The sequence below is a fragment of the Homo sapiens genome, chromosome 1, assembly GCF_000001405.40.
Source record: "Homo sapiens chromosome 1, GRCh38.p14 Primary Assembly".
Lineage (NCBI taxonomy): Eukaryota > Metazoa > Chordata > Mammalia > Primates > Hominidae > Homo > Homo sapiens.
Window position 1 is genome coordinate 94,278,430 of NC_000001.11, and position 27,859 is coordinate 94,306,288.

The following is a 27,859-nucleotide window of genomic DNA, read 5'->3' on the forward strand; positions in this document are numbered from 1 at the left end:
GCCATCAGACTGTTTGAGATTCATAAAATGAGATTCATGTAAACATGTCTTTTATGGAGAAGGAAAGAATAACCCAGAGATACTCAGTGATTTTACCAAGGTTACACAATTAGTAGCCGGCAAATCAAAGGCTAAAATCCACACCTGGTGCACGTGTATGCATGTGTGTTTCTCACCACATCTAGGGAAGAAATGTCTTGAGAGACATTCTGAAACTCATTAAAAAGTTAACCTAATGGAGGTTGAAGTTGAGGATGTCTTAATTAGTTATTAAATTTATTAAACGAAAGTCTCTGCTGAGGTCCCTCAGGATACATTCACATTAAAATATTTCAAGCCATATAAAATCCTGCTTTAATTACTAAGTATGCATGCCAGCCTGGAAAGATGGGTTTTGGATCAACCCAACTGTCAATAAATACAAGCAAATGCTTAACAGCTCCAAGCATTAGGGCTTCTCCCCTGGTATAACTCCTGTTCCTCCTTTGGTTTAGAGAAATGCACAAATGTGATTTCAGTGATCATTAGGAAAAGTACTAACATCTGATGCATGGGAGAATAACCTGGTATTGATCAATTTACCCTTGTGAGGAATCAAAGTAGTGACTAACAACTTGTTATTAATCTGGCTAACATTCATCTATAGGTGTCAGACGACAGTGTCCTACTTTCTAGCTTCTTTGATCCTTTTGGCTAGGTTCACTATAATACTTCTCATGGTTTCCTTTTGTCCATTAACATGGTGGTTCCCAACAAGCAGCTGTGAAGATCCTCCAGATGGTTAATCTCCAGCAGCATTAGTATTTCTGTGCAGTTAGTGGACAGCTGCTTATAGTATGAAGCAATACTTTACTTGCTGTGCAATTCCATGCCCCTTTGTCTGTGCTAGACCCTCTGCCTGGAATGCCCTGCCTCTCTTCTCTGACTTCCCTGACAAGTTTCTACTTCCAAGAGCATATTTAAATGTCATCTCCTCTATGAGGTTTCTTCCTGACTCCCAAGAGGTGGCACTAATTTCTCCTTCCAGTATGTTCCATTGCATTTAACACACAATTTCTGTTACAGTACTTTTCAGATCATATCAAAATCACTAATTTAACTTGCTACCTTTCCAAGTAGAATGGAGCTCCATGAAGAAGTGACTGCATCTTTTCTTCTATGGCTAAAAGTGGCCTGAGTAGGCCTTTAGCCCATGTTGGTTGAATGCATACTTATGCTTCATTGTTCTGTGACTCACTGAATAAGTATATTCATAGAATCTCTTTTCTGGCCTAAATTTCTGTGTTTATCCTTGGGCCGCACCTCTACACCCATTCCCACTCCAGTGCCCTGAGTAACCCCTTTAGGGGTTTGACTTGGGCTTTCACTATACCTTGAGTCTTTCCCTCAAAGTCTTTCTATTCATTCTGTTGGGACTTTGATGAGCATTGCTCTTTTGGGCCAAAGGTTTCCCTAATCTGGTTCCAACTTTTTTTTACAGCATATTCCTGAAACAGCCTCCCTTCCTGCTAGTGCCCGCAAGTTGTTTGTTCTTTTAGTTTTTATTTCCCCAACTCCAGAGCAAAATATTTCTGTACTTGTTTTTTCCTGTGATACAGTACTTTTCCTGTGATACAGTACTTTTATGTTATATATAAATATATATAACATAATATTTATCATTTAACCACTTATAAGTGTACAATTCAGGGAAATTAAATTTCTTTACTTCTTAATGGTGAATTCCATGAGTCTACCACACTCATGATGGCTAGCTTATATGGCCTGTGGGAGAGATTAACAAGAGGACACAAGTGAGATCCCTGGAAGCCTCCAACCTTTCCATCTTCCTCTCCAGGTTCCTTAACAGTTCACTCACTTTTCAATTCAAGGGACTTTTGCTATGGAAGGTTACCTGCCAAAGGCTGTGCCAGGTTGGGTGGGAGACACAATGCTGCAGACCATCTTCCTGTCCTCCAACAGCTCCTCTTCAGCTGGAGAAGAGAGCCAGACCAAAAAACTAATTATCAAACAAAATGCAACAAAAATAAATTAAAATTTTAAAAATCTACCAAAATGTACAAGTACTAAGAGATGGAAGGAGGAGGAAAAATTAGGTCTAACTAGAAGAGATGGACAGATGAATAGAATTTCTAAAGGAGGAGAAGAGTGATCCTGGCAGAACATAGTAAAGAACAGTACCACATGTAGTAAGTGTGCAATAATTTATTGAATGAATAAATGAAATGCATGGCTGTATAAATGAATACATGGATGAGAGCCAAACTGTAGCAAAGGGCAGGAACGGTGAGTGAACAAGGGAAATTTGATGTCTGATGTGTAATAGCTGGCTGTGGTCAGGATTTATGGTGGAATGGCCAGAGCTTATCCTGGTTCTTTTCTGCAAATTACAACTCAATTCTCAAACTATTACATGGTCCACATAACTAAGAGGATAGGATGGAGTTGTCAAATGACCTCACAAATGGAAAAATGGTGGGATAAGCAGAGAAGACTGACATCCTCCCTTCCATTCTCCTGTGCCATCTCTGCCATCAATCCTGAATTTCTAGGGGTCACTTCCCAATGATGAATATCACTTCCAGTGACACAGAAACATTTCAATCCTTTCAAGAGCTAATTATATCTCCATAAGTGACAACTGTGTTCTGTTATGATTATTAGATATAGAAATGGTCATAATGTTGCTCTTTGAGACACAAAAAACAGTGGAATATTTGCATCTTAAGGTATATTGGTGTATACATGCATCTTAGTATCACACACTCCTATAGACACATACATGTATTCACACATATGCATTTGTAAAACATTCACATTGATACATGTATACACACATTTAAACTCCCTTTCTAAAAGAAAGATTCATAATTTTCTAAGATTACACTAAGTCTCTGTGTTTGCCAAACATGACAGCATGATAGGGAGGGAATTAAGGCCCTTGTGCTATCATATCTCGCTGGGCAAGCACAAGGCAGGAGGTGTGCTAGAGGCTGCTCTTGCTGGGAACAGCCCAGCACGTAAAGTTAACCTTGAGATCAACACCGTCAGTGAGATGAGTTACAGGACTTCATGGCAGAGCATCACAGAAACTCAGGAACATATCAAAGCATTCGTCACTCTGGTGGCAGGAAATAAGATGAAAGAATTTAGAGAATTGCAATCACACATAATAGCGTTATCACTGGTGACTAGAATTTGAATTATGTGCACATAGACTTCTCCCCCAGTAGGTACTGCTCACAAGCACTTAAGGAAAAGGGGGTTCTGGATAAAATCAATTAGAGACCAGTTACATGAAGTTGGGCAAATGCTATAGAGTATAAACAGTAGGACAGAGTGCAGCCAGGGTGGGTGAAATTCAATTGTGAGTAATAAGTGCAGTTTTGGCAGCATTGCTGGGGAATATTTTTTTCCCTTGGGGATGTGAGAGCTTAATACTGTCATTATGATGGACATGCAATCACTGAGACTCCTGCATGGGACATTCTTTGTTTGCACTCCTCAGTATCTACCACGGCATGCTGTAGGTGTGAGGGGAACTGTATAGGTTGAGCCCTTTTACCAAGGGCAGAGATCAAGGCAGCCACAGCTGGAAATTCTCTCCATATTCCTTGAAGTTGGCAGACAATCAGAATCACCATAAAAAATCTATGTTTAAAAAATCTATGTTTTTTAAAAACATGGATTCCTGGGCCCTATCACCCAGAATCTGATCTTGTAAGTCTGGACTGGAGCCCACAACCTTGTCTTTTTTAAAAAAAAAGTTCCATGGTGGTTCTGTAATCCAATAGGCTTGGGGACCACTGGTTTCAAGTGATAGTGCTTTATTTATTTATTTATTTATTTATTTATTTATTTATTTATTTATTTTTGAGACGAAGTCTCCCTCTGTCACCCAGGCCAGAGTGCAGTGGTGCAATCTGGCTTACTGCAGCCTTGACCTCCTGGACTCAAGTGATCCTCCCACCTCAGTCTCCCAGGCAGCTAGGACTAAAGGCGCATGTCACCAAGCCCAGTTAATTTTTGTATTTTTTGTAGAGAGAAGGTTTTGCCATGTTGCCCAACCCTCCTGGCCTCAAGCGATCCTCCCATCTAGGCCTCCGAAAGTGCTGGGATTACAGGCATGAGCCACATTACAGGCATGACCACACGTGGTCAAAGTGTATTTTTGCCAATGAGTAGTAAAAATGGAAGAGAAGTAAAAAAGGAGGGAATGAGATTTGAGAGCCCCATAGTATCTGTCAGGGCCTCTAACCCTCTTCTCTTCTGCCTAGAGGTCCATGGCCCTGAGGTTTTCTTCTGGATGATGAGAGGGGAAGCCTGGCAGCTTAGAGAGCTATGGACTGCTTCATACTGCAGAAGAAGAACCAAGAATGGGCCATGCTTAAGCTGATTAAGATGATTCCCTTCTCTATGTGGTTTGTCTCCAGGCAAAAATAAGGACTTTAGATCTGAGTGAATCTAAATAACTCAAGTCTAGTTCAAATTAGTGTTTCTCCCTCTGTGAGTAAGGAAGGATGTCTTTCCCTCCTATCCCTCCTACTCTCTCTTGAGAGTCTTGGCCCTAGTATTTAGAGCTTTATAGATAAATACCAAGTTATAAAGTTTAGCAAAGACACAGACCAACAGTCAGCAACATTTTTTTAACCTTAAGGAAAAAAAATACATAAAACCATTATTCTAAACTGCCAACGCCAACTCTGTAAGATTTTTTATTGAGTATATTTTAATGAGATTATAAACAGGGAGGCTCTCTGTTTTTGTAGCAAGTAACCAGCCATTAGTTTGAACGGCCACCTGGGTACCATTGCTTTCTATCTTCTAAACACTGTGCCATCATTAAGGATATTCTGCACAAGATGACATTGCTGAGGGGTAACCTGGTTACCATGCACACATGGCTCACAGGGCTGCTGAGTGGTTTAGAGAAGTCTTGGAAGGTGCTACCCTTGTGACTCCCAAGCACCACTCCTGTCCCTGACTTCAAATGAGGTATATAATAGATTTCAAAGACTTATTTTAAAATGCCCCCAGTTCAATAATTATTTTTTAAAAAATCATATTTGATAACTCAAATGGTTACCAAATATTTAAAAGAACTAGAATCGATTACCTCATGGAAAGAATGTTCAACTCTGCATATAGAATTTCTTTTAGTCATTCTAGGGAGAGTGATGAAAAAGCAGTAAATTATTATTGCACTCAGTTTTTAGTGGATGAATCTGGAAGCAATATTACCAGGATCAGTGTAACTCTGTATGTTAAGTCATACCATCATGCTCTTTGCTGTTGCATAATTTAGCAGAAAATGGTATGAAGTTTAACAAACAAACAAGGTGCATTTAAAAATAAATATTGCTAAAATGTAGCTATAAACTTAGAAAATCAGTGGATACTATCAAATGATAGCATAAAGTCCCAATCCCATTTCCAAACATCTTTATCGGTACCCAGAGATTTTCTGGATGGGGAATAGAGCTAGTTTCTAGTGATGCAATTAAGTGTGAAAAATGGTCTTGTACTCAGTTGCTTACTTGTTTGAAAAACAGATCTTGAACATGAAAAAAATGAACAATAAATCACAGAATTTTCACCCAATCTATTTCTTCTTAGGTTATGTTGATTCTGGCAAAAAGTTGAAAGGCAGAAATGGGAAAAAAAAAAAAAAACCATCAAGCCAGGGCTGGAAACACAATTCAGACAGTTTAAGTGGGTTTTCAGAGAAAAAATTCAAAGGAAGGGAGAACTAATTTACTTTACTGTTAAGTGTTTAGAGAGCTTTACTTATAGTAATTTCTTATGCTGAGTATCAGAGTTTTTAAACTTTTAAATAGAATTTAAATTGAAATAGCTACAATTTCCTGACAGATTACAATGTGCCAAACACTTTACATACCTTATTTTGCATCCTTACCTCAGTCTTCATTGCAGAGATTATTGTTATAATTTTACAAATGATAAAATGGGGACTTGAACAGGTTAGATCACATAGTGTAGTAGATTATATTACTGTTCACCCTATTTGCCCCTCTTTGTGTGAATCCAGGCATGGTCATAGCACTGACTTTGGCCAATGAAATGTGAGCAGAAATGATGTGTGTTACTTCTGGACAGAAGTTTTAAGAGCCAATGCATGGTTGGCTATGCCTTCTGTCTGCTGTGAAATCAGCAATGTTCCAGATGGAGGCAACTTGGGTCCTGGAGTGAATACTGTGTGGAGTAAAGCCGCATTCAGCCCATGACAGACATAAAGCATGAAAGAGAAACAAAACTAGGATGTGGTAAGCCACTGATACTCCGAGATTGTTTGTTTCTATAACAAAATCTAGCCAATCCTGTCTAGTACACACAGTTTAAGTGACAAAACCTAAGTTTCTTTGATTTCTAAGCCTTGGGCACAGAAGAAAGATAGTGGCATAGAGTAGGCACTCCATAAACATATGTTGAAGGAAGGAATGTATGGTGGTTGCCCAGCATTGAACACAATACTTCAGATGTGATCCGATCCACATAAGAGTTATTAGGAGTACAAACACTCTTTTTACACTGAACATCTGTTAATGAAGGCTTAGAGTGCATTAGCTTTTTTGTCAACTGTACTTATTTCTTTAACAAAAAAATTATTGTCTACCTAACATGTACAAGGCACAGAGTGAGGTGTCATGGCTGATACAAAAACAAAACATAAAAATGATTGTCTTCCAGCTGTTCATAATTTCATGAGTGAGAGTCGCACATTCACAACCAGCTGTGTCACAAGGCAATGAATAGAGTTGGACAGTGTGTTTTGTTGACTGTAGATTGAGTATGGAACGAGGCAGTCATGAGTTTCAGTCATTCATTCCACAAAAACACATTGAGCATCAACAATGAGTTGAGTGCTATGTTCACTCCTGCAGATACAGGTTAAAAAAAAAAAATACAGTCCCGGTCTCAAAGGTCTCACAAGCTAGTGTGAGAGACAGATTAGTTAATAGGGAATTATAATAGAGCATGATAAGAGCTGTAATAAAGTTAAGCTCAGGAAGCTATGGATATAAGGAGGAAGAATATCAGCCTGGAAGGGTCAATGAAGGCATTCTGGAGGAAGTGAGTCATAAATTGATTCCTAAAAGATGAATGAGTGTTTGCACATGAAGAAGGAGAGGGAATGTACTGGTGTAGAGAAAAAGAAGTACATTCGCCTGTAATCCCAGCATTTTGGGAGGCCAAAGTGGGTGGATCATGAGGTCAGGAGATGGAGACCATCCTGGCCAACATGGTGAAACCCAGTCTCTACTAAAAATACAAAAATTAGCTAGGCATGGTGGCATGTGCCTGTAATCCCAGCTACTTGGGAGGCTAAGGCAGGAGAATCACTTGAACCCGGGAGGCGGAGGTTGCAGTGAGCCAAGATTGCGCCACTATACTCCAGCCTGATGACAGAGCAAGACTCTGTCTCAAAAAAAAAAAAAAAAAGAAAAAAAAAAAGAACTACATTCAAGCCCCAGTGAGCAGTTGGTGGAAAGGCAAGCACACAGAGACAAAATATTTTGAAAGAACATGACTTGTTCTAGGAGACAGCAAGTAATACACTGTCTTAGTCAGCGTGGGCTTCCCTAATAAAATATTATGTACTGAGTAGCTTAGAACAGAAATTTACTTCTTCACAGTTATGAGGGCTGGAAGTCTTACATTAGAGTGCCAGCATGGTCAGGGTCTGTTGAGGGTTCTCTTCCTGGCTTGCAGATGGCTGCCTTCTTGCTGTGTCCTCACATGGCAGAGAAAGATTTCTTCCTCTTTTTATAAGGCCACCAACACTATCAGCCCCACTCTTATTACCTCATTTAACTATAATTATGGCCTAAAAATACAGTCACATTAGGGGTTTAGGGCTTCAACATATGAATTTGGGAAAGGCAAAAATATTCAACCCATAACATATACTATGGATTGAAAATAAGAAAAAATTTAGTCTGAGCATGGTGGCTCATGCCTATAATCCCAGCATTTTGGGAGGCCAAGGCAGGAGGATCACTTGAGACCAGGAGTTCAAGACCAGCCTGGGCAACATGGTAAAACCCTATCTCTACAAAAAATACAAAAATTAGCCAGGCGTGGTGATGCACAACTGTAGTCCCAGCTACTCGAGAGGCTGAAGTGGGAGGATCACCTGAGACTGGAAGGTTGAAGCTGCAGTGAGTTGAGATTATGGCACTGCACTCCAGCCTGGGTGACAGAGTGAGACCCTGTCTCAAAAATAAATAAATTTTAAAAGTGAGGTCAGAAGAAACAGAGAGGATGAATAGATTTCAGAAAAATTAAGAAGGAAATAGAATAAACAAGGTCTTTGGTGATCAAATGACTTGGTATGTTAGAAGTCAAAGATGATCTCAGAAAGTTGGGTACCAGTGACTGGGAAAGTGGAATATGGTATGGTAAATGTGGAAAAACTCAAACTGCATTTTCCTCTGCTCTCACACAACAATCACAATCACTGGGTGTCCTCCAATTCAATTCCAACACTATCAACCTGGAGATAGCATTACGACACTATCAACCTGGAGGTAGCATTAGATCCCACAGGTTAAGGGCTCAGTCCCCAGTACATCCTGCCACACCCACCAGACAACAGTCACAAGTCCAGGGCTCTGGAACTTCTGATTGACTGGCTCAAGTTGAGGTTTCCACTACCCTCTTTGAGTTTGATTAATTTGCTGGAGTGGCTCCCAGAACTCAAGTAAACACTTTCGTTTACTGGTTTATTATAAAGGATATTACAAAGAATACTGATATGGTTTGGCTCTGTGGCCCCACCCAAATCTCATCTGGAATTGTAATCCCCACATATTGAGGGAGGGAGATGATTGGATTATGGGGGCGGTTTCCCCCATTGTGTTCTCATGATAGTGAGTAACTTCTCAGAGATCTGATGGTTTTATAAGGCAGTTTTCCCTGCTCTTGCTAGCTCTGTCTTTCCTGCTATGAAGAAGTTCTTTGCTTCCCCTTTCCCTTCCACCATGATTGTAAGTTTCCTGAGGCCTCCTCAGCCATCTGGAACTGTGAGTCAATTAAACCTCTTTTACTATTATTATTATTATTATTATTATACTTTAAGTTCTAGGATACATGTGCACAACTTGCAGGTTTGTTACATAGGTATACATGTGCAATGTTGGTTTGCTGCACCCATTAACTCGTCATTTACATTAGGTATTTCTCCTAATGCTATCCCCCCCAGCTCCCCACCCCACAACAGGCCCTGGTGTGTGATGTTCCCCACCCTGTGTCCATGTGTTCTCATTGTTCAACTCCCACTTATGCGTGAGAACATGCGATGTTTGGTTTTCTGTCCTTGTGATAGTTTGCTGAGAATGATGGTTCTCAGCTTCATCCATGTCCCTGCAAAGGACATGAACTCATCCTTTTTTTATGGCTGCATAGTATTCCATGGTGTATATTTGCCACATTTTCTTTATCCAGTCTATTATTGATGGACATTTGGGTTGGGTCCAAGTCTCTGCTATTGTGAATAGTCCCGCAATAAACATGCGTGTACATGTGCCTTTATAGTAGCAAGATTTATAATCCTTTGGGTATATACCCAGTAATGGGATTGCTGGGTCAAATAGTGTTTCTGGTTCTAGATCCTTGATCCACACGGTCTTCCACAATGGTTGAACTAATTTACACTCCCACCAACAGTGTAAAAGCATTTCTATTTCTCCACATCCTCTCTCGCATCTGTTGTTTCCTGACGTTTTAATGATCGCATTTCTAACTGGTGTGAGATAGTATCTCATTGTGGTTTTGATTTGCATTTCTCTGATGACCAGTGATGATGAGCATTTTTTCATATGTATGTTGGCTGCATAAATGTGTTTTTTTGAGAAGTGTCTGTTCGTATCCTTTGCCCACTTTTTGATGGGGTTGTTTGTTTTTTTCTTGTAAATTTGTCTAAGTTCTTTGTAGATTCTGGATATTAGCCCTTTGTCAGATGGGTAGATTGCAAAAATTTTCTCCCATTCTGTAGGTTGCCTGTCCACTCTGATGATAGTTTCTTTTGCAGTGCAGAAGCTCTTTAGTTTAATTAGATCCCATTTGTCAATTTTGGCTTTTGTTGCCATTGCTTTTGGTGTTTTAGTCATGAAGTCTTTGCCCATGCTTATGTCCTGAATGATATTGCCCAGGTTTCCTTCTAGGGTTTTTATGGTTTTAGGTACTACATTTAAGTCTTTAATCCATCTTGAGTTAATTTTTGTATAAGGTGTAAGGAAGGGATCCAGTTTCAGCTTTCTACATATGGCTAGCCAGTTTTCCCAGCACCATTTGTTAAATAGGGAATCCTTTCCCCATTTCTTGTTTTTGTCAGGTTTGTCAAAGATCAGATAGTTGTAGATGTGTGGTGTTATTTCTGAGGGCTCTGTTCTGTTCCATTGGTCTATATCTCTGTTTTGGTACCAGTACCATGCTGTTTTGGTTACTGTAGCCTTGTAGTGAAGTCAGGTAGCGTGATGCCTCCAGCTTTTTTCTTTTTGCTTAGGATTGACTTGGCTATGTGGGCTCTTTTTTGTTTCCATATGAAATTTTAAGTAGTTTTTCCAATTATGTGAAGAAAGACAGTGGCAGGTTGATGGGGATAGTATTGAATCTATAAATTAACTTGGCAGTATGGCCATTTTCACAATACTGATTCTTCCTATCCATGAGTATGGAATGTTCTTCCATTTGTTTGTGTCCTCTTTCATTTTGTTGAGCAGTGGTTTGTAGTTCTCCTTGAACAGATCCTTCACATCCCTTGTAAGTTGGATTCCTAGCTATTTTATTCTCTTTGTAGTAATTGTGAATGGGAGTTCACTCATGATTTGGCTCTCTGTTTGTCTGTTCTTGGTGTATAGGAATGCTTATGATTTTTGCACATTGATTTTGTATCCTGAGACTTTGCTGAAGTTGCTTATCAGCTTAAGGAGATTTTGGGCTGAGAGGATGGGGCTTTCTAAATATACAGTCATGTCATCTGCAAAGGCAGGGACAGTTTGACTTCCTCTTTTCCTAATTGAATACACTTTATTTCTTTCCCTTGCCTGATTGCCCTGGCCAGAACTTCCAACACTATGTTGAATAGGAATGGTAAGAGAGGGCATCCTTGTCTGCTGTCGGTTTTCAAAGGGAATGCTTCCAGTTTTTGCCCATTCAGTATGATATTGGCTGTGGGTCTGTCATAAATAGCTCTTATTATTTTGAGATACGTTCCGTCAATAACTAGTTTATTGAGAGTTTTCAGCATGAAAGGCTGTTGAATTTTGTTGAAGGCCGTTTCTGCATCTATTGAGATAATCATGTGGTTTTTGTGGTTGGTTCTGTTTATGTGATGGCTTACATTTATTGATTTGCCTATGTTGAACCAGCCTTACATCCCAGGGATGAAGACAACTTGATTGTGGTGGATAAGCTTTTTGATGTCCTGCTGGATTCAGTTTGCCAGTATTTTATTGAGGATTTTTGCATTGATGTTCATCAGGGATATTGGTCTAAAATTCTCTTTTTCATTGTGTCTCTGCCAGGCTTTGGTATCAGGATGATGCTGGACTCAGAAAATGAGTTAGGGAGGATTCCCTCTTTTTCTATTGATTGGAATAGTTTCAGAAGGAATGGTACCTGCTCCTCTTTGTACCTCTGGTAGAATTTGGCTGTGAATCCGTCTGGTCCTGGACTTTTTTTGGTTGGTAGGCTATTAATTATTTCCTCAATTTCAGAACCTGTTATTGGTCTATTCAGGTGTTTATTCAGGTCTATTCGGGTCTATTCATCAGTTATTCTCTGATGGTAGTTTGTATTTCTGTGGGATCAGTGGTGATATCCCCTTTATCATTTTTTATTGCGTCTATTTTATTCTTCTCTATTTCTTCTTTATTAGTCTTGCTAGTGGTCTATCTATTTTGTTGATCTTTTCAGAAAACCACTCCTGGATTCAATGATTTTTTGAAGAGTTTTTTGTGTCTGTATCTCCTTCAGTCCTGCTCTGATCTTTGTTATTTCTTGTCTTCTGTTAGCTTTTGAATTTGTTTGCTCTTGTTTTTCTAGTTCTTTTAATTGTGATGTTAGGGCATCAATTTTAGATCTTTCCTGCTTTCTCTTGTGGGCATTTAGTGCTATAAATTTCCCTCTATACACTGCTTTAAATGTGTCCCAGAGATTCTGGTACATTGTGTCTTTGTTCTCATTGGTTTCAAAGAACAACTTTATTTCTGCCTTCATTTCGTCACTTACCCAGTAGTCATTCAGGAGCAGGTTGTTCAGTTTCCATGTAGTTGTGCAGTTTTGAGTGAGTTTCTTAAACCTGAGTTCTAATTTGATTGCACTGTGGTCTGAGAGAGAGTTTGTTGTGATTTCTGTTCTTTTACATTTGCTGAGGAGTGTTTTACTTCTAATTATGTGGTCAATTTTAGAATAAGTGTGATGTGCTGTGAGAAGAATGTATATTCTGCTGATTTGGGGTGGAGAGTTTGGTAGATGTCTATTAGGTCCACTTGGTCCAGAACTGAGTTCAATTCCTGGATATCCTTGTAAATTTTCTGTCTCGTTGATCTAATATTGACAGTTGGGTGTTAAAGTCTCCCATTATTATTGTGTGGAAGTCTAATTCTCTTTGTAGGTCTCTAAGGACTTGCTTTATGAATCTGGGTGCTCCTGTATTGGGTGCATATATATTTAGGATAGTTAGCTCTTCTTGTTGAATTGATCCCTTTACCATTATGTAATGGCCTTCTTTGTCTCTTGTGATCTTTGTTGGTTTAAAGTCTGTTTTATCAGAGACCAGGATTGCAACCCCTGCTTTCTTGTTTGTTTGTTTGGTTGTTTGTTTGTTTGTTTTTTGCTTTCCATTTGCTTGGTAGATCTTCCTCCATCCCTTTATTTTGAACCTATGTGTGTCTTTGCACATGAGATGGGTATCCTGAATACAGCACACTGATGGGTCTTTACTCTTTATCCAATTTGCTAATCTGTGTCTTTTAATTGGGGCATTTAGCCCATTTACATTTAAGGTTAATATTGTTATGTGTGAATTTGATCCTGTCATTATGATGCTAGCTGGTTATTTCACCTGTTAATTGATATAGTTTCTTTATAGTGTCGATGGTCTTTACAATTTGGCATGTTTTTGCAGTGGCTGGTACCAGTTGTTCCTTTCCATGTTTAGTGCTTCCTTCAGGGGCTCTTGTAAGGCAGGCCTGGTGATGACAAAATCTGTCAGCATTTGCTTGTCTGTAAAGGATTTTCTTTCTCCTTCACTTATGAAGCTTAGTTTGGCTGGATATGAAATTCTGGGATGAAAATTCTTTTCTTTAAGAATGTTGAATATTGGCCCCCACTCTCTTCTGACTTGTAGGGTTTCTGTCAAGAGATCCACTGTTAGTCTGATGGGCTTCCCTTTGTGGGTAACCCAACCCTTCTCTCCGGCTTCCCTTAATATTTTTTCGTTCATTTCAACCTTGGTGAATCTGACAATTTTGTGTCTTGGGGTTGCTCTTCTTGAGGAGTATCTTTGTGGTGTTCTCCGTATTTCCCGAATTTGAATTTTGGCCTGCCTTGCTAGGTTGGGGAAGTTCTCCTGGATAATATCCTGAAGAGTGTTTTCTGACTTGGTTCCATTCTCCCTGTCACTTTCAGATACACCATTCAAACGTAGATTTGGTCTTTTCACATAGTCCCATATTTCTTGGAGGCTTTGTTTGTTTCTTTTCACTCTTTTTTCTCTAATCTTGTCTTCTCTCTCTATTTCATTAATTTTATCTTCAATCACTGATGTCCTTTCTTCCACTTAATCAAATTGGCTACTGAAGCCTGTGTATGCTTCACGAAGTTCTCGTACTGTGGTTTTCAGCTCCATCACGTCATTTAAGCTCTTCTCTGCACTGGTTATTCTAGTTAGCCATTCGTCTAACCTTTTTTCAAGGTTTTTAGCTTCCTTGCGATGAGTTAGAATGTGGTCCTTTAGCTCGGAGAAGTTTGTTATTACTGACCTTCTGAAGCCTACTTCCGTCAACTTGTCAAACTCATTCTCTGTCCATTTTTGTTCCCTTGCTGGCAAGGAGTTGTGTTCCTTTGGAGGAGAAGAGGCATTCTGGTTTTTGGAATTTTCAGCCTTTCTGCTCTGATTTCTCTCCATCTTTTGGTTTTACCTACCTTTGGTCTTTGATGTTGGTGACCTACGGATGAGGTTTTGGTGTGGATGTCCTTTTTGTTGATGTTGATGCTGTTCCTTTCTGTTTGTTAGTTTTCCTTCTAACAGACAGGCCCCTCAGCTGCAGGTCTCTTGGAGTTTGCTGGAGGTCCGCTCCAGACCGTGTTTGCCTGGGTATCACCAGCAGAGGCTGCAGAGCAGCAAATATTGCTGCCTGATCTTTCCTCTAGAAGCTTTGTCTCAGCGGGGCATCTGCCTGTATGAGGTGTCTGTTGGTCCCTACTGGGAGGTGTCTCCCAATCAGGCTACACGGGGGTCTGGGACCCACTTGAGGAGGCAGTCTGTCTGTTATTGGACCTTGAACGCCATGCTGGGAAAACCACTGCTCTCTTCAGAGCTGTCAGGCAGAGATGTTTAAGTCTGCAGAAGCTGTCTGCTGCATTTTGTTCAGATATGCCCTGCCCCAAGAGGTGGAATCTAGAGAGGCAGTAGGCCTTGCTGAGCTGTGGTGGGCTCCGCCCAGTTTGAGCTTCCCTGCCGCTTTGTTTACACTGTGAGCATAGAACCGCCTACTCAAGCCTCAGCAATGGCAGATTCCTCTCCCCCCATCAAGGTCCAGTGTCCCAGGTTGATCTCAGACTGCTGCGCTGGCAGCGAGCAAGGCTCCATGGGCATGGGACCCACTGAGCCAGGCACGGGAGGGAATCTCCTGGTCTGCCGGTTGCAAAGACCATGGGAAAAGCACAGTAATTGGCCAGAAGTGTACCGTTCCTTCAGGTACAGTCCACTCACTGCTTCCCTTGGCTATGAAAGGGAAATCCCCCGACCCTTTGCACTTCCTGGGTGAGGTGACACCCTGTCCTGCTTCAGCTCACCCTCCATGGGCTGCACCCACTGTCCAACCAGTCCCAGTGAGATGAACCAGGTATCTCAGTAGGAAATGCAGAAATCACTCGTCTTCTGCGTCAATCTCACTGGGAGCTGTAGACCAGAGCTGTTCCTATTTGACCGTCTTGGAAGTGACCCACCTCTTTTCTTTATAAATTACACACTCTCAAGCAGTTGTTTATAGCAATGTGAGAACAGATGAATACAGATACAGATGAAGCTGTGCATAGCGGGGGAGGTGTGCAGGAAAGGGTGCACAACTTCCATGCCCTCCATGGGTGTGCCACCCTCCAGGAATTTCCGTGTTCAGCTATCTGGAAGCTTCCAAACTTAGTCCTCCAGGGATTTTATGAAGGCTTCATTACATAGGCATGATTTATTAAACCACTGGCCACTGGTGATTGACTTTATCTTCAGCCCCTCTCCCCTCTCCCAGTTAGAAGGTTAGGCTGAATGTCCCAATCCTCTAATCATGGCTTGGTCTTTCTGGTGACCAGCCTCCAACCAGAAGCTACCTAGGGACTGCCAGCCATTGACTAATCATTACTGTGCAAAAAGATGTCATTGTAGAGTTTCTAAGGATTTTAGGAGTTGTATGACAGGAAATAGGCTGAAGACCAAATATATGTTTCACATATCACAGGTGCTGTTCAATAAAGGAGAAGGATTTGGGCAGAGTGTGGAATGGATAATATTAATCATTTAATTTGGAACATATTGAGTTGTGGGTATTGGTCAGACATGCAGCCAAAAGAGTCAGCAATTATATATACATACATGTGCACACACACACACACACGCGCATATATTTACAATATAAATATATATATATGTATATATTTTTTTAGACAGAATCTTGCTTTGTTGCCCAGGCTGGAGTGCCATTGTGGCCCACTCTAGCCTCCATCTCCCAGGCTCAAGTGAAGTAGCTGGGACTACAGGCACACGCCATAGCACCTGGCTAACTTTTTAAATTTATTTTTTGTAGAGACACTGTCTTGCTGTGTTGAGCAGGCTTATCTCGCACTCCTGGGCTCAAGTGAGCTCCACCTAGGCCTCCCAAAGTACTGGGATTACAGGTGTGAGCTACCACACCTGGCCAGCAATTGGATATATTACTTTAGAACTTTGGAGCAAAATTTGGCCCCCAGACTTAGAGATGATAGGTGTATTTGTTGTTCACACTAGTGACCACTGGCAGTGAATAAGAACACCTAGATGAGATGAGCAGAGGGCTAAATGGCAAGATCATTAAATGAGAAGATGAGAGGAGGGAAAAGCATGGAACCCTGGAAAATACTAACGTTCAAGAGATAAGTGGAGGGGAGAAAATAATATTATCCTGGAAGGCAAGAAATGAAGAGTTTTGAGAAGAAAACAGACAACAGTGTCAAATGCCCTTGAGGGCAAATAAGGCAAAGTCTGAAAATTCAATTATTTTGAGAAATTAAGAATTTATTGCTAACTGTGGCAAAAGCAGCTTCCATAGACAGAGTGAGACTGAAAGATATTGGAGTGAATTAAGGTGAGAAAAGAGGTAAGAAAGGTAAAATGACAAATGTAGACCCCTCCTTTCGGTTCAAGAAGAAGGTTTGAAATTGTATTACTAGGGGAAAGGGAGAACATGTTGACTAGGGCCAACTAGAAGGATTGGAGTTAAGGCTGGAAATCTTAAAAGAACAGTGATAACAATTTGTGTCTGGTCTACCTTCATCAGCATCAGTTATAGGTTAGAGAAGGTGGGTAGCCGGGTTCACCAGGATTGGGATTTTGCCAAGTGGGTATATAGAAGAATGAGGAAGAATGGAATTGAGAGTGTTAAGCAAGAGAAAGATTGAAAGGATAGGGCTTTGTTTTTAGGCTGCCTAGAGAAGGAAATAAAAACTAGAGGAAGCTGAGAAATTGGGGTGAAGTAGAAGAATCAAGGGGCTTAGTGACTTTGATGCAATTAAAAGCACACATTGATAAGAAGATTGTACTCAGACATTGTACAATTTAAATTGTAGTTTAAGATTTCAGAAATGGAGCGATTCTAATTGATGACAAGATCTAGGATGTAATTTAGAGTGTAGGCTAGAAAAAACTAGATATCGGGAAAAGATTAATGATCTGTGAATCTTGGATACTTCCGTGTGCTTATATGTTGATGCGATGAATCCATTGGAGAAGGAGAATGTATCAGTCAGCAGGAAACATGAAATACTTACTCTAATTCTAATGTGGAATTCTAACTCCACACAATGTGGAATCTTCTAATTCCACACAATGTGGAATCTTCTAATTCCACACAATGTGGAATCTTCTAATTCCACATTGGGGTATTTGAGGTAGGAACTACTTACAACAGTGCAGTTACAATATAGAGAACCAACAGGATTGTAGAGAACCCTGAGGCAAGAAACAGTGGAACAATTACCTTAGATTTGAAAGGATGAGGGGAAGGAGCAATTACCAGAACCTGGAAGAAGGCTGTCTTGAGAGGACAATGACTTTGGTCAAAAGAAACAGCCAATCCAGGAAGACTTTTCTGGGAAGAAGGCAGAGGAATAAATATAGTAGTTCCCCTTATCCATGGTTTCTCTTTCCAAGGTTTCAGTTACCCATGGTCAACCACAGTCTGAGAATATTAAATGAAAAAATTCCAAAAATAAACAATTCATAAGTTTTAAATTGTGCACTATGCCAAGTAGCACAATGAAATCTTGCTCCATCCGGCCTGGGACGTGAATCATCCCATTGTCCGGCATATCCACGCTATTTATGCTCCCTGCCTGCTAGTCACTTAGTAGCTCTCTCAGTTAGCAGATCGACTGTTGAGGTGGTATGGCAGTGCTTGTGTTCAAGTCACTCTTATTTCACTTAATAATGGCACCAAAGCACAAGAGTAGTGATGCTGGCATATTTTTATAATTGTTCTATTTTATTATTAGTTATTGTTGTTAAACTCTTACTGTGCCTAATTTATAAGTTAAAAGTTATAGGTAAGTACGCACAGGAAAAACATAGTATATATAGGGTTTAATGCTATCTTTGCTTTCAGGCATCCACTAGGGGTCTTGGAACATATCCCCTCAATCAGGGGGGACTACTGTACTCTTATCTCATGCTCTTCTTTCTCTCAAGTACCTTGCTGGGGCTTCCCCATAGCCAAACCCCACCAGAAAGTAGAGGGCAAAGAAGTCTATTGATACAGTTTATATAGACTTTGGCCTCCCCCAACACAGAGCTGGGTAGAGAAGGATGCAAAGTTGCTCTGGAGAGGCAAACAGAGAGCCATCCAGCCTAGTGAGATTAGAGACACAAGCTAGAGCAGGGCAAACTGATAATGCATATTTCTGACAAATTGGAAGAGATTGAGATTCAAGTCTCAAATAGTTGAATGGAACTTAAATAGGAACCATAACTTTGTTATTCTGAGAAGAGAGAAGTAGTAGAAAATGGGTTATATTTGCAGACAGCTTTTTATGGATTTCATTTTGTCTGTGAAGACATCTATTGAGACATAGTGCAGGGAGGATGAGAATGGTGAAAGTTTCGGCCAGGTCTGATTTGTGTGACCATCCCTGGAGGAAGAGGATGCAGTGGAGAGGGAAGTCTTGTAACTGACAGTCTTTCCAGTGTCAAAGGGGTGAGTGAGAGGAAGTTTTCCCAAGCAAAATAGGGGTGTAGAGAAGACAGTAGCTGCAGATACCCATCACAGAGCTGAAACAACATGTTGAGCCTGGCAGCAGCATGTGACAGCTCATTTGTTTTCTCAGAAAGACTGCTTTATATGACAATACTCGTGGTATGTACATGTTCCAATTAGTTCTTTAAAAGTCTCAGTACTTTTTGTCACACATATTATTCAATTCTTAATATTTTATGTAATGGCTAATGAGCGTTAAAAAGCAGCATTCTAGTGATGCTTCCAAGGACAACAGCTAACACTTCTTGAGCACTTATGTGAGCTGGGCACTATGCAAACTGCTTTCTATCCATAATGTTATCTGATTCTCATAACTCCTATGAAGTCCTGAAGTAGGCAGTCACTTATTGCTGTTCTACTACCCATTCCCCTTTCTTTTTTCTTAGTAGTGCCCAGATTTTCTTTGGGGACAAAGGGGATCTTCCATTCTTAGCAACATTGCTAAAGAAGGGCAGATAGTTCCAGAGGGAGTTACGCTCGTCAGTCACCCATCTCCTTTGTCTCAATAACTGACTGGTCAGAGCTGGGCACATGACATAGAGTGTTTCATCAGGAACTTGGGGGTTCTTGTTGGGAATGCTGGGACTCCCTCTTCCTCTGAGTTGTGTGTGGTATGAGCATAGGAGGCCTGGAACGGCTGCAGCAATGAGGGGAGCTGGCCTAAGGATGTGATGACCACACAGAAAAGGGCAGAGCTGAGAGAACATTAGAGGTGCTGAACTTGGAGCCCAAATAACATAGTGAACCTCTAAAACCAGCCAGCTGGGGCAGCACTACCTCCAAACTGCAGTTCCATGAGCCAATAAAGCTCCTTCTGAGAAAGCTATCGATTTTCTCTGAGATGCCATTTTCAAAATGGTAATGATAAAAAGAATTTTGCTTGCTTATTTTTAGAGTTAAATGAAATAATATTCAGCGGCAAATATTGATACTCTAAATACTTGTCGTTCTTGTAGATTGTGACAGTGTACCATCCTGAATACACTTTCATGGGATTGATTAGTATGTAGCTCTTTCTAACTTATGTACGTATACTTTAGAAAGTTTTATACTGCAGAAGTATAAAGAGGCAAAATTATTTTAAGTAACGTGCATTTAATTTTTTTCTATTACAATATTGTACCCATTATAGAAAATATAAATGGTCTACATAATTTATAGCTGTACTAAGTGTTTACGGTCTTTCTATAGAGATTGAGCATTGGGTCTTTGTTCAGCATCTAAATTCTTCATTATTTATTGTTCCATGGGAAATTGCCTTGGCTTTGACTATTTTCAACTTTTAACGATTGCAAGAGCATTAGACATTAGAGACGTGAGGATTACCTGTATTCAAGTGGTCTCTCAATTTCTCTCTTTTGGTTTCTCAGATTCTTTCCTTAGGTTTGGGTTTATAGCATTTTACACAAAACAAGATAGGTGTGATCCTTAAAAGTTGTTTTTGGTTTTGTTTTTGCCTGCAATATATTCATTAAAACACCAAAGAGAAATGAGATACATTTCTGTTCTTATGGTTAAGGACCTATAATGCTATTTGTCACAAAAATAGAAAGATGGAAAAGTAGAAGAGTAAATATATATATAACGAGTTCATTTACATGGTTTCACATGCTTAATCTTGCAAACCCAACTCATGACAATAAATTTATGAAAACAAAACATTAAAAAACTTAGAAAGTAATAATAAACTATAAACACAATGCTACTGAAGCTCAGCTACAACACCACATTCTCAGCTCTAGTTTGGATAGAACACAAGTGTTTTAAATTGCATTGGGTGGAGGCCCTGGCAGGAAGGAAGCATCGGATATTGCTGGAACATATCTTTGTTTGAGCAACAGCTAATGAGAAAGGTCACCATTATGCTTTGCTTTCAAACACTGGGTCTGTTTTGAAATTAGTACTGCACATTTCATCACAAATGCTGGTTTATAATCATCGAGGTACATAATCCTGCAGTATTAATGTTGTTTTCTCCTAAGTGGCAAGTAAAATCCAAAGCTTATGTTCTCACCACTGTTTTGATCAGTATGTCAGTAAAAGATAAAATGACTTTCTATTTATGGACTCTGGGATTCCTGATTATTTACAAAATTCCAATCTTGAATTTAGAGGAAATTCAGCCTTCTAATTTTTTTCCTTCAGTTTTAGTGTTACTTGTACTCTTGTTAAACTCATCGCTGGCATTTGAAATACAAGGCTTTTTGGAATTTGTTCCCTAAAATTTATTGCATTTGTTTAGTGGATTATGTGAGTGGCACAGAAATCCTAAGAAAGAGCTTAACTTTTCTCTGCAAAGTGTTTGCTGACAAATGCGATAAACTTTAGAAGACCACCTTCTAGGAAGGGCTGACATATCAAGGACAGTAAAAACAGTAGTACCAGACATTTCTGCCACAATTTTTTCGGTGGTGGGGGGGAACAGAAATCTATTAAATATCTCAGTTTATATTTTTGGTTCTCCCTGTTGGCTAGGCTGTTGTATTCCCATGTCCACAGCACGTTCCACTGTGGGAGCCTGGAGCTCTTAGAATAAACTTTGGGAAAGGCTGGGTCCACCCTCTGGGGATAAGGGAGCCAGAGGGAGGAAGGGGAGGGGGTAAAGGAAAAGGGAAGGGGGCGGCTGTCTTCCTGTGTTTGGATGACCTTTCCTTATGTTTATCTGGAGGGACTGGGCAGCCACGCTGTGTTTGGTGTCAGCCTGCCATGTTGTCACATGTGATCTCTTTCTTAGCTTTATGTGTAGAGAGGACCTTTGCCTCTACTGGGAGAACTAGATTTAACTCTGTGAATTATGAAAGAAAAAAAGTGTACCAGTCTGTTAGGCATTGGGGCCCAGAGATAGAAGTCTTATGAAACATGCACATATGCCAGTGTGCAGCAGATTCCCTAAGGGAAAGGCTTAGGCATCTCTTGGAGCTGTCTGAAGGCGGGCCCACCTGTACTTCTTCCTTCTTGCTGAGAGCTGGGCTGGAGGCTGTCTTGCTTCTCCTGAAGCCTCATCATTTAGTACAATGCCCTTCACTTGTGGATATTCCTTAACTATTTCTTGAATGCATGAGTGAATGGATGAATACATGAGCAGAGTCACAGAGAGGTGACTGGGCAACAGGCAGTGAGGTTCCTACAATACTTAATTGATTTGCCAGTCCCTGCTCTAAGAGCCCTAAGTAGCTCCACTTTAAAGAAACCAGTTTCAAGCCTCTCCGTCTCACATTCCTGGTGGGTGAATCACTTGTTTCTTATGGTTGGGTGAGAATAACACCTCTGGTTTCCACCTTTCTTTTTCATTTTAGTGCTGACCTCATCTGACCTGACCTTAGCTTGAATGTTATTTTCCCAGAGAAGCTATCCCTTAATCATCCTACTCTCCTCCGCCTGAATTAGATCCCCCCATATACCTCTTACTAATCTCTATTATCTTCATAGAATGTAATACAATTTTTAATTATATTCATGTGGGTGATAATCCATCCTATGTCTGATTTCTCCACTAGATTACAAACTTCTTGAAGATAGGGGACCATATTTATTTTCTCATCACTGTGTTCTTAGCACCTGGCATAATACCTGGCATATAGGTACTATGGCATATAGGCTTAATACCTGGCATATAGGTCCTCTATACACATAAGCACTCAGCAAGCCTGTGTTCAATTAATGAATGAGCAGATTAATGAATAAATTATATTTGGAAGGAGAATTCATACCAGGTTACTGAGCAGGGTTGGGGATAAAGATCAGAGTCCAAAAGCCCTATCCCAATCAGACCTTGGACACACTAACGAGTTTGAGATTCTGAAGAGGATGAAGTGCTTAGCAGACATAAGTGACATTGGGCATTTTACCTTTGGAAGCTAACTAGTAGTCTGGACTCCTGGGAGTACCAGAAACTTTCTCGTTTAACTCTACCCAAAGTAGCAACTTCTTCCACCTTCTCAGTAATAGCAGTATTCTTGGTTACCAGGTATCTGAACCACAGAAAGACTCTCGATGTTTTCCTCTTTTTCACATCACACAGCTTCACAATACCTCTTGTTAGTTTTTTCCTTTTCATTCCCATGAGGGCCTTTTGATCTAGTGAATTAGTCAGTTTCTTTCTCTTGCAAGTTCCAGACATGCAATTCCAATTAGCTTAAAAGCAAAAACGGGGAATCACGTTGTAGGGAAGTTGATAGGGACAACTGGCTTCAGACGTGTCTAGATCCAGCGGCTCAGATATTGCTCAGGACTCCACCTTTCTTGCCATCTCCCTGCTAAGTTTTTAAAATGAACACCTACAACTCCTGACTCACAATCTCCTCATAGCACCAGGAAGGACTCTGATTGCACCCATGTGACCGTTCCTGAATCTGTCACTGCAATGGGGAGGGAAGGAAGGCTCTGATTTCTTGACCTGGGCAATATGTTCAGCTTTCTGCCCCTTGTATGGTGGCCAGGGGGGATGAGGGTACAGTCATAGACAGAGCTCCTCAAGGAAAAGAGGAGTTGTGTTACCCAGATAAGCTGTGGAAGAGGTGCTGGATAATCAAAAACAATAGAATGCCTTTCTGCAACAGCCATCCTGATCCAGGTGCAGTGCTAGGCCCTTAACCTACATGCATCAGGATATACAAGGGAAATGAGGCTGCACTGTGGAATCAGATTGCTTTGGCCCAAATCCTAGCTCTTTCTCTTACTCTCTCTCTCTAATTTTGGATAAGTTAACCCCTCTAAGTCCAGTTTTCTCATGATAAAACAGTGATGTAAAATATTCAGTAGAATATTACTCAGCCTTAAAGAGGAAGGAAATTCAGCCTCTCAGCTCCTCCCATCAACAGATGGCCCAGTCTTTAGTGAGGCACCAGCTATGTCCCTGAAACACCATGATGAAAGTGAAGGCCAGAGTAAATGGATTTGGCCATACTGGGCACCTGGTCACCACGGCTGCTTTTAACTCTGGCAAAGTGGATATCATCACCATCAATGACCTCAACTACATGGTCTACCATGGAATCACATGGTTCCAGTATGATTCCACCCACAGCAAGTTCCACTGCACCATCAAGGCTGAAAATGGAAATCCCATCACCATCTTCCAGGAGGGAGATCCCACCAAAATCACACAGGGTGACGCTGGTGCTGATTATGTTATGGAGTCCACTGGCATCTTCACTACCATGGAGAAGGCTGGGGCTCACTTAGAGGGTGGAGCCAAAAGGGTCATTACCTCTGCCCCCTCTGCTGATGCCCCCACGTTCGTGATGGGCATGAGCCATAAGAAGTATAAAAACCTCAAGATCATCAGCAATGCCTCCTGCACCACCAGCTGCCTAACCTCCTGGCCAAGGTCATCCATAATAACTCTGGCATCATGAAGCGACTCAGCATCACAGTCCATGCCATCACTGCTACCCAGAAGACTCTCATGGCCCCTCTGGGAAACTGTGGTGTGATGGCCATGGGGCTCTCCATTACATCATCCCTGCATGTGTCTACTGGTGCTGCCAAGGCTGTGGGCAAGGTCATCCCCAAGCCGAACAGGAAGCTCAGTGGTGTGGCCTTCCATGTACCCACTGCCAATGTGTCAGTCATGGACCTGACCTGCTCTCTGGAGAAACCAGCCAAATATGATGACATCAAGGAGGTGGTGAAGCGGCATCGGAGGGGGCCATCGGGGGCATCGTGGGCCACACTGAGCACCAGGCTGTCTCCTCCAACTTTAACAGTGACACCCACTCTTCCACCTTCAACACTGGGGCTGGCATTGCCCTCAACGGCCTCTTTGTCAGGCTCGTTTCCGGGTATGACAATGAATTTGGCTACAGCAACAAAGTGATAACCTTTATGATCCACATGGCTTCCAAGAAGTAAGAGCCCCCAGACCACCAGCCCCAACAACAGCATGAGAGGAAGAGAGAAGCCTTTAGTTGCTGGGAAGTCCCTGCCACACAGTCCTCCACCACACTGAGAATCAACCTTCCTCATTGTTTCTACATCAGACACCCTGAAAAGGGAAGGACCTAGGGAGCCTGACCTTGTCAGATAACATTAATAAATTCCCGTGTACCCAGCCAAAAAAAAAGGAAGGAAATTCTGACATATGATATAACATGGATGAGCCTTGAGGACATTATGCTAAGTGAAATATGCTAGTCACAAAAGGACAAATACTGCATAATGCAACTTATGTGAAATGCCCAGAGAAGTGAACTTCATAGAGACAGAAAGTGAAATGGTGGTGCTAGGGGCTGGGGAGTGGGGTGAATGGGCAGTTAGTGTTTAATGGGTACCGAGTTCCAGATTTGCAAGATGAAAGTGTTCTGGAGATGGACGGTGGTGATGGTTGCACAACAGTGTGAATATACTTAAAACCCCCTGAACTATACACTTAAAAATGGTTAAAATGGTAAATTTTATGTTATGTATATTTTACCACAATTTTTAAGGAAGTGACATAAGGGTTAAATGAGACCACAGATGTAAAGTATTTAGTGCAGTGTGAGTGAATACATAGTAAGTGCTCATAAATATGAAATATTATTCTCATAACAGCCCTACAGATATTATTATCTTCATGTTTATAGTTGAGTAAGTGGAGATTTGGGGGTTAAGTAAGTGGTCCAAGCCCACCCAGCTAGAAAGTGGTGAGACCAGACTCAAACCCACTGCTTAAGTACTAAGGCCCTGCTATTTTCTATTATGCCATGTTACTTCCCAGCACTCTTCTTGCCAGCTACCGCTGCCTAATATTTTTAAATATTGCTTTGATTATGTTAAGCTTCTGCCTAACAAAACTTAAGGGATCTACCTGTGGTCTAAAACACAAATGCCCTTTCCTGATACAATTCTTTTTGCAGTCTGACCCCAGTTACTTTTCTAGCCTCATTTTGATGTCAAGGCTCTGCTTTACCTTGTTTTGTGTTTTCTATGCTCGTAGCATATGCTAGTTATTCTGCTGGAACACTGTTGAAACTCTACCCACCTTTTTTGGGGGATGGGGGAAGAAGGTCTCACTCTGTCTCCTAGGCTGGATGGAGTGCAGTGGCGCCAGCACAGCTCACTGCAGCCTCCACTTCCCAGGCTAAAGCTATCCTCTGGCCTCAGCCTCCTGAGTATCTGGGACTACAGGTGTGTATTACCACGTCCTGCTAATTTTTTATTGGTTTGTATAAATGGAATCGCACTATGTGGCCCAGGCTGGTCTTGAACTCCTGGGCTCAAGAAATCCTCCTGCCTTGGCCTCCCAAAATGCTGGGATAACAGGCGCGAGCCACCACACCTGGCCTCTACCCATCTTTTGATGCTCAACTCAAGACTCAGCTCCTCCAGAAAGCCTCACCTAACTGGAAGAGAGACAGGTCATTTCCTCCTCTTCACTACTACAGTGTTTATTATTTGATAGCAACACATAATGTACTGCTTAAATCAGAGTTATTACTTCGCTGTTCATGTCTTAGCTTCACAGCAGTGGAGAGCAGGTATTGTATCTATTGCTGCTTTAAATTTCCCTCAATGCCAGGTTAGTGTTTTGCATTGAGTAGCAACTTGATAACAATTTCTTAAGGATGCTGATGCAGGAAATATGATTAATGATGACTAGTTCAAACAGTCATGATTTGGATTTAAGAAAAGCATGTATTATTCACTTTTTATTAGAAAAGATACTGGAATTTCTCCTTGTACTTTTAGGTCAGTTCAGGACATAATGATTCCTAGTCAGCATGGAAATGAAAAGATTGAGCCTGGTTAAAAAAGCAAATCTGCTGGTGAGCCTGTGTGAGAGGTAGATGTCTCTTGCTGATTACATTCTGAGAAACAGAAGCAGGCAAAAGTGTTTACAGAGCAACCAGAGATGAGGCAGTGGTTATTTTGAGAATATCTCAAAAAACAAAAGAGGTCATTTTAGGTTCTGCAAATAGTGCCCACTATGCAAATACATCAGTCTCTACATTGGTACTGAAAATGTTAATCATGTATAAGCCCCTAAACCTTTCTAAATAATGCTGTCCCTCACCTCCAGCCCCTGCTCAAAGGTCCTCTGTGGACCATGTAAGGGATCTGCAGTCATGCCAGGGAAAGAATCAAAGCCACGGTGCTGGAAATGGCAGCATCAGCCAATATTCACCAGGATGCTCTTGTGTGCCAATCCTGAGTGGTCATGGGGTTTGTTCTGACTGGTCAGTTTCTGTTCTTTAAATATGTTGAATATCACCTCTGGGCAGAGAGAACAGCACTGGAAGTAAAGGCAGTTCTATGTGGTAGGAACGCAAAGCACCAATGAGAGAATGACAGAAGATGGGTCAGGAAACACAGGTAAGGACCAGAACTTGAAGGAATTCAGACCATTTGGGCAGATGAGCCATAGATAACTATTAGGCAGAGAGGTATTATAAGCAGCTGTACATTTTTGAAGGATGAACAAGACTATTTATTAGGCTTTTGTAATGGACCTGATGAGAGGTGAGGAAGACTTGAATCAAGAACTCGGCAGTGCCAATAGATGGCAGGGGGGATGAATATAAGAGATATATTTTGAGGTAAAATTGACTGGATTTATGATTGAATGGAGAGAGTGGGAATAGAGGTGTCAAAAGGAATCAGAATCTGAAATGTGAATATTCTAATTGGTGGTATGTGCTAAGAATACATTGATGGTTCAAGTTTATTTTCACTGTCTTACCTCAAAGTTCAAGGAATAAGTTGTGGTTAATCATACATATGATACATGAGCAGAGCAGTTGAATGTGAGGTTGCTGGCAGCTCTTGAAAAAGGCAATCACCCTGCCTGACCACATTCTGGTTCAGTGAGAGTCTACACTGGAACAACAACTCATTTAGAATTGCATGAGACCAGCTTCCCATAGCTGAAAGAAATATGGAGAACGTTCTGAGGCTGATGGGAACTATGAAAACAGCAGTCACATACCTTTGGACAAGGCCATTTTATAACCAATTTACAAGGCATCATTTCTGCTTCCCTGCAGTAGTCGGGCCCTGGGTATCATTGGGATTGGCACAGTTTCTTTGAGTCTTTCCCCACCTCACAGGCAGTCAGGCTTAGAGAGCTGTGATGGGGATGGGCAGGGTCTTGGGTCTGGGAAGCCCCAGAGGAAAGACTGCGTTCTTTCCCCAGG

The 27,859-nt window shown here is 41.1% G+C and overlaps 1 protein-coding gene, 1 long non-coding RNA gene and 1 pseudogene across 6 annotated transcripts in view, besides 1 other annotated feature; 2 read left to right on the plus strand and 1 right to left on the minus strand.

The window, feature by feature from the left end:
* The window catches only part of ARHGAP29 (Rho GTPase activating protein 29), a 145,688-nt gene that overhangs the window by 109,525 nt on the left and 8,304 nt on the right, over window positions 1-27,859 (minus strand). For both annotated transcript variants that reach the window (XM_047434759.1, XM_047434754.1), the window contains one exon: window positions 1,895-1,973. The gene's annotated coding sequence lies outside the window, so the exon portion shown is untranslated. The remainder of the gene's footprint in view (window positions 1-1,894; window positions 1,974-27,859) is intronic.
* The window catches only part of ARHGAP29-AS1 (ARHGAP29 antisense RNA 1), an 86,939-nt gene that overhangs the window by 30,562 nt on the left and 28,518 nt on the right, over window positions 1-27,859 (plus strand). The gene's annotated exons all lie outside the window — the stretch shown is intronic.
* Window positions 6,156-6,215: an enhancer, noted in NCBI's record as "active region_1346". NCBI's record gives its function as "activates an Ori minimal core promoter by ATAC-STARR-seq in GM12878 lymphoblastoid cells {active_cell/tissue: GM12878}" and the evidence as "EXISTENCE:reporter gene assay evidence [ECO:0000049][PMID:35858748]".
* On the plus strand, window positions 23,541-24,799 carry GAPDHP29 (glyceraldehyde 3 phosphate dehydrogenase pseudogene 29; annotated as a pseudogene).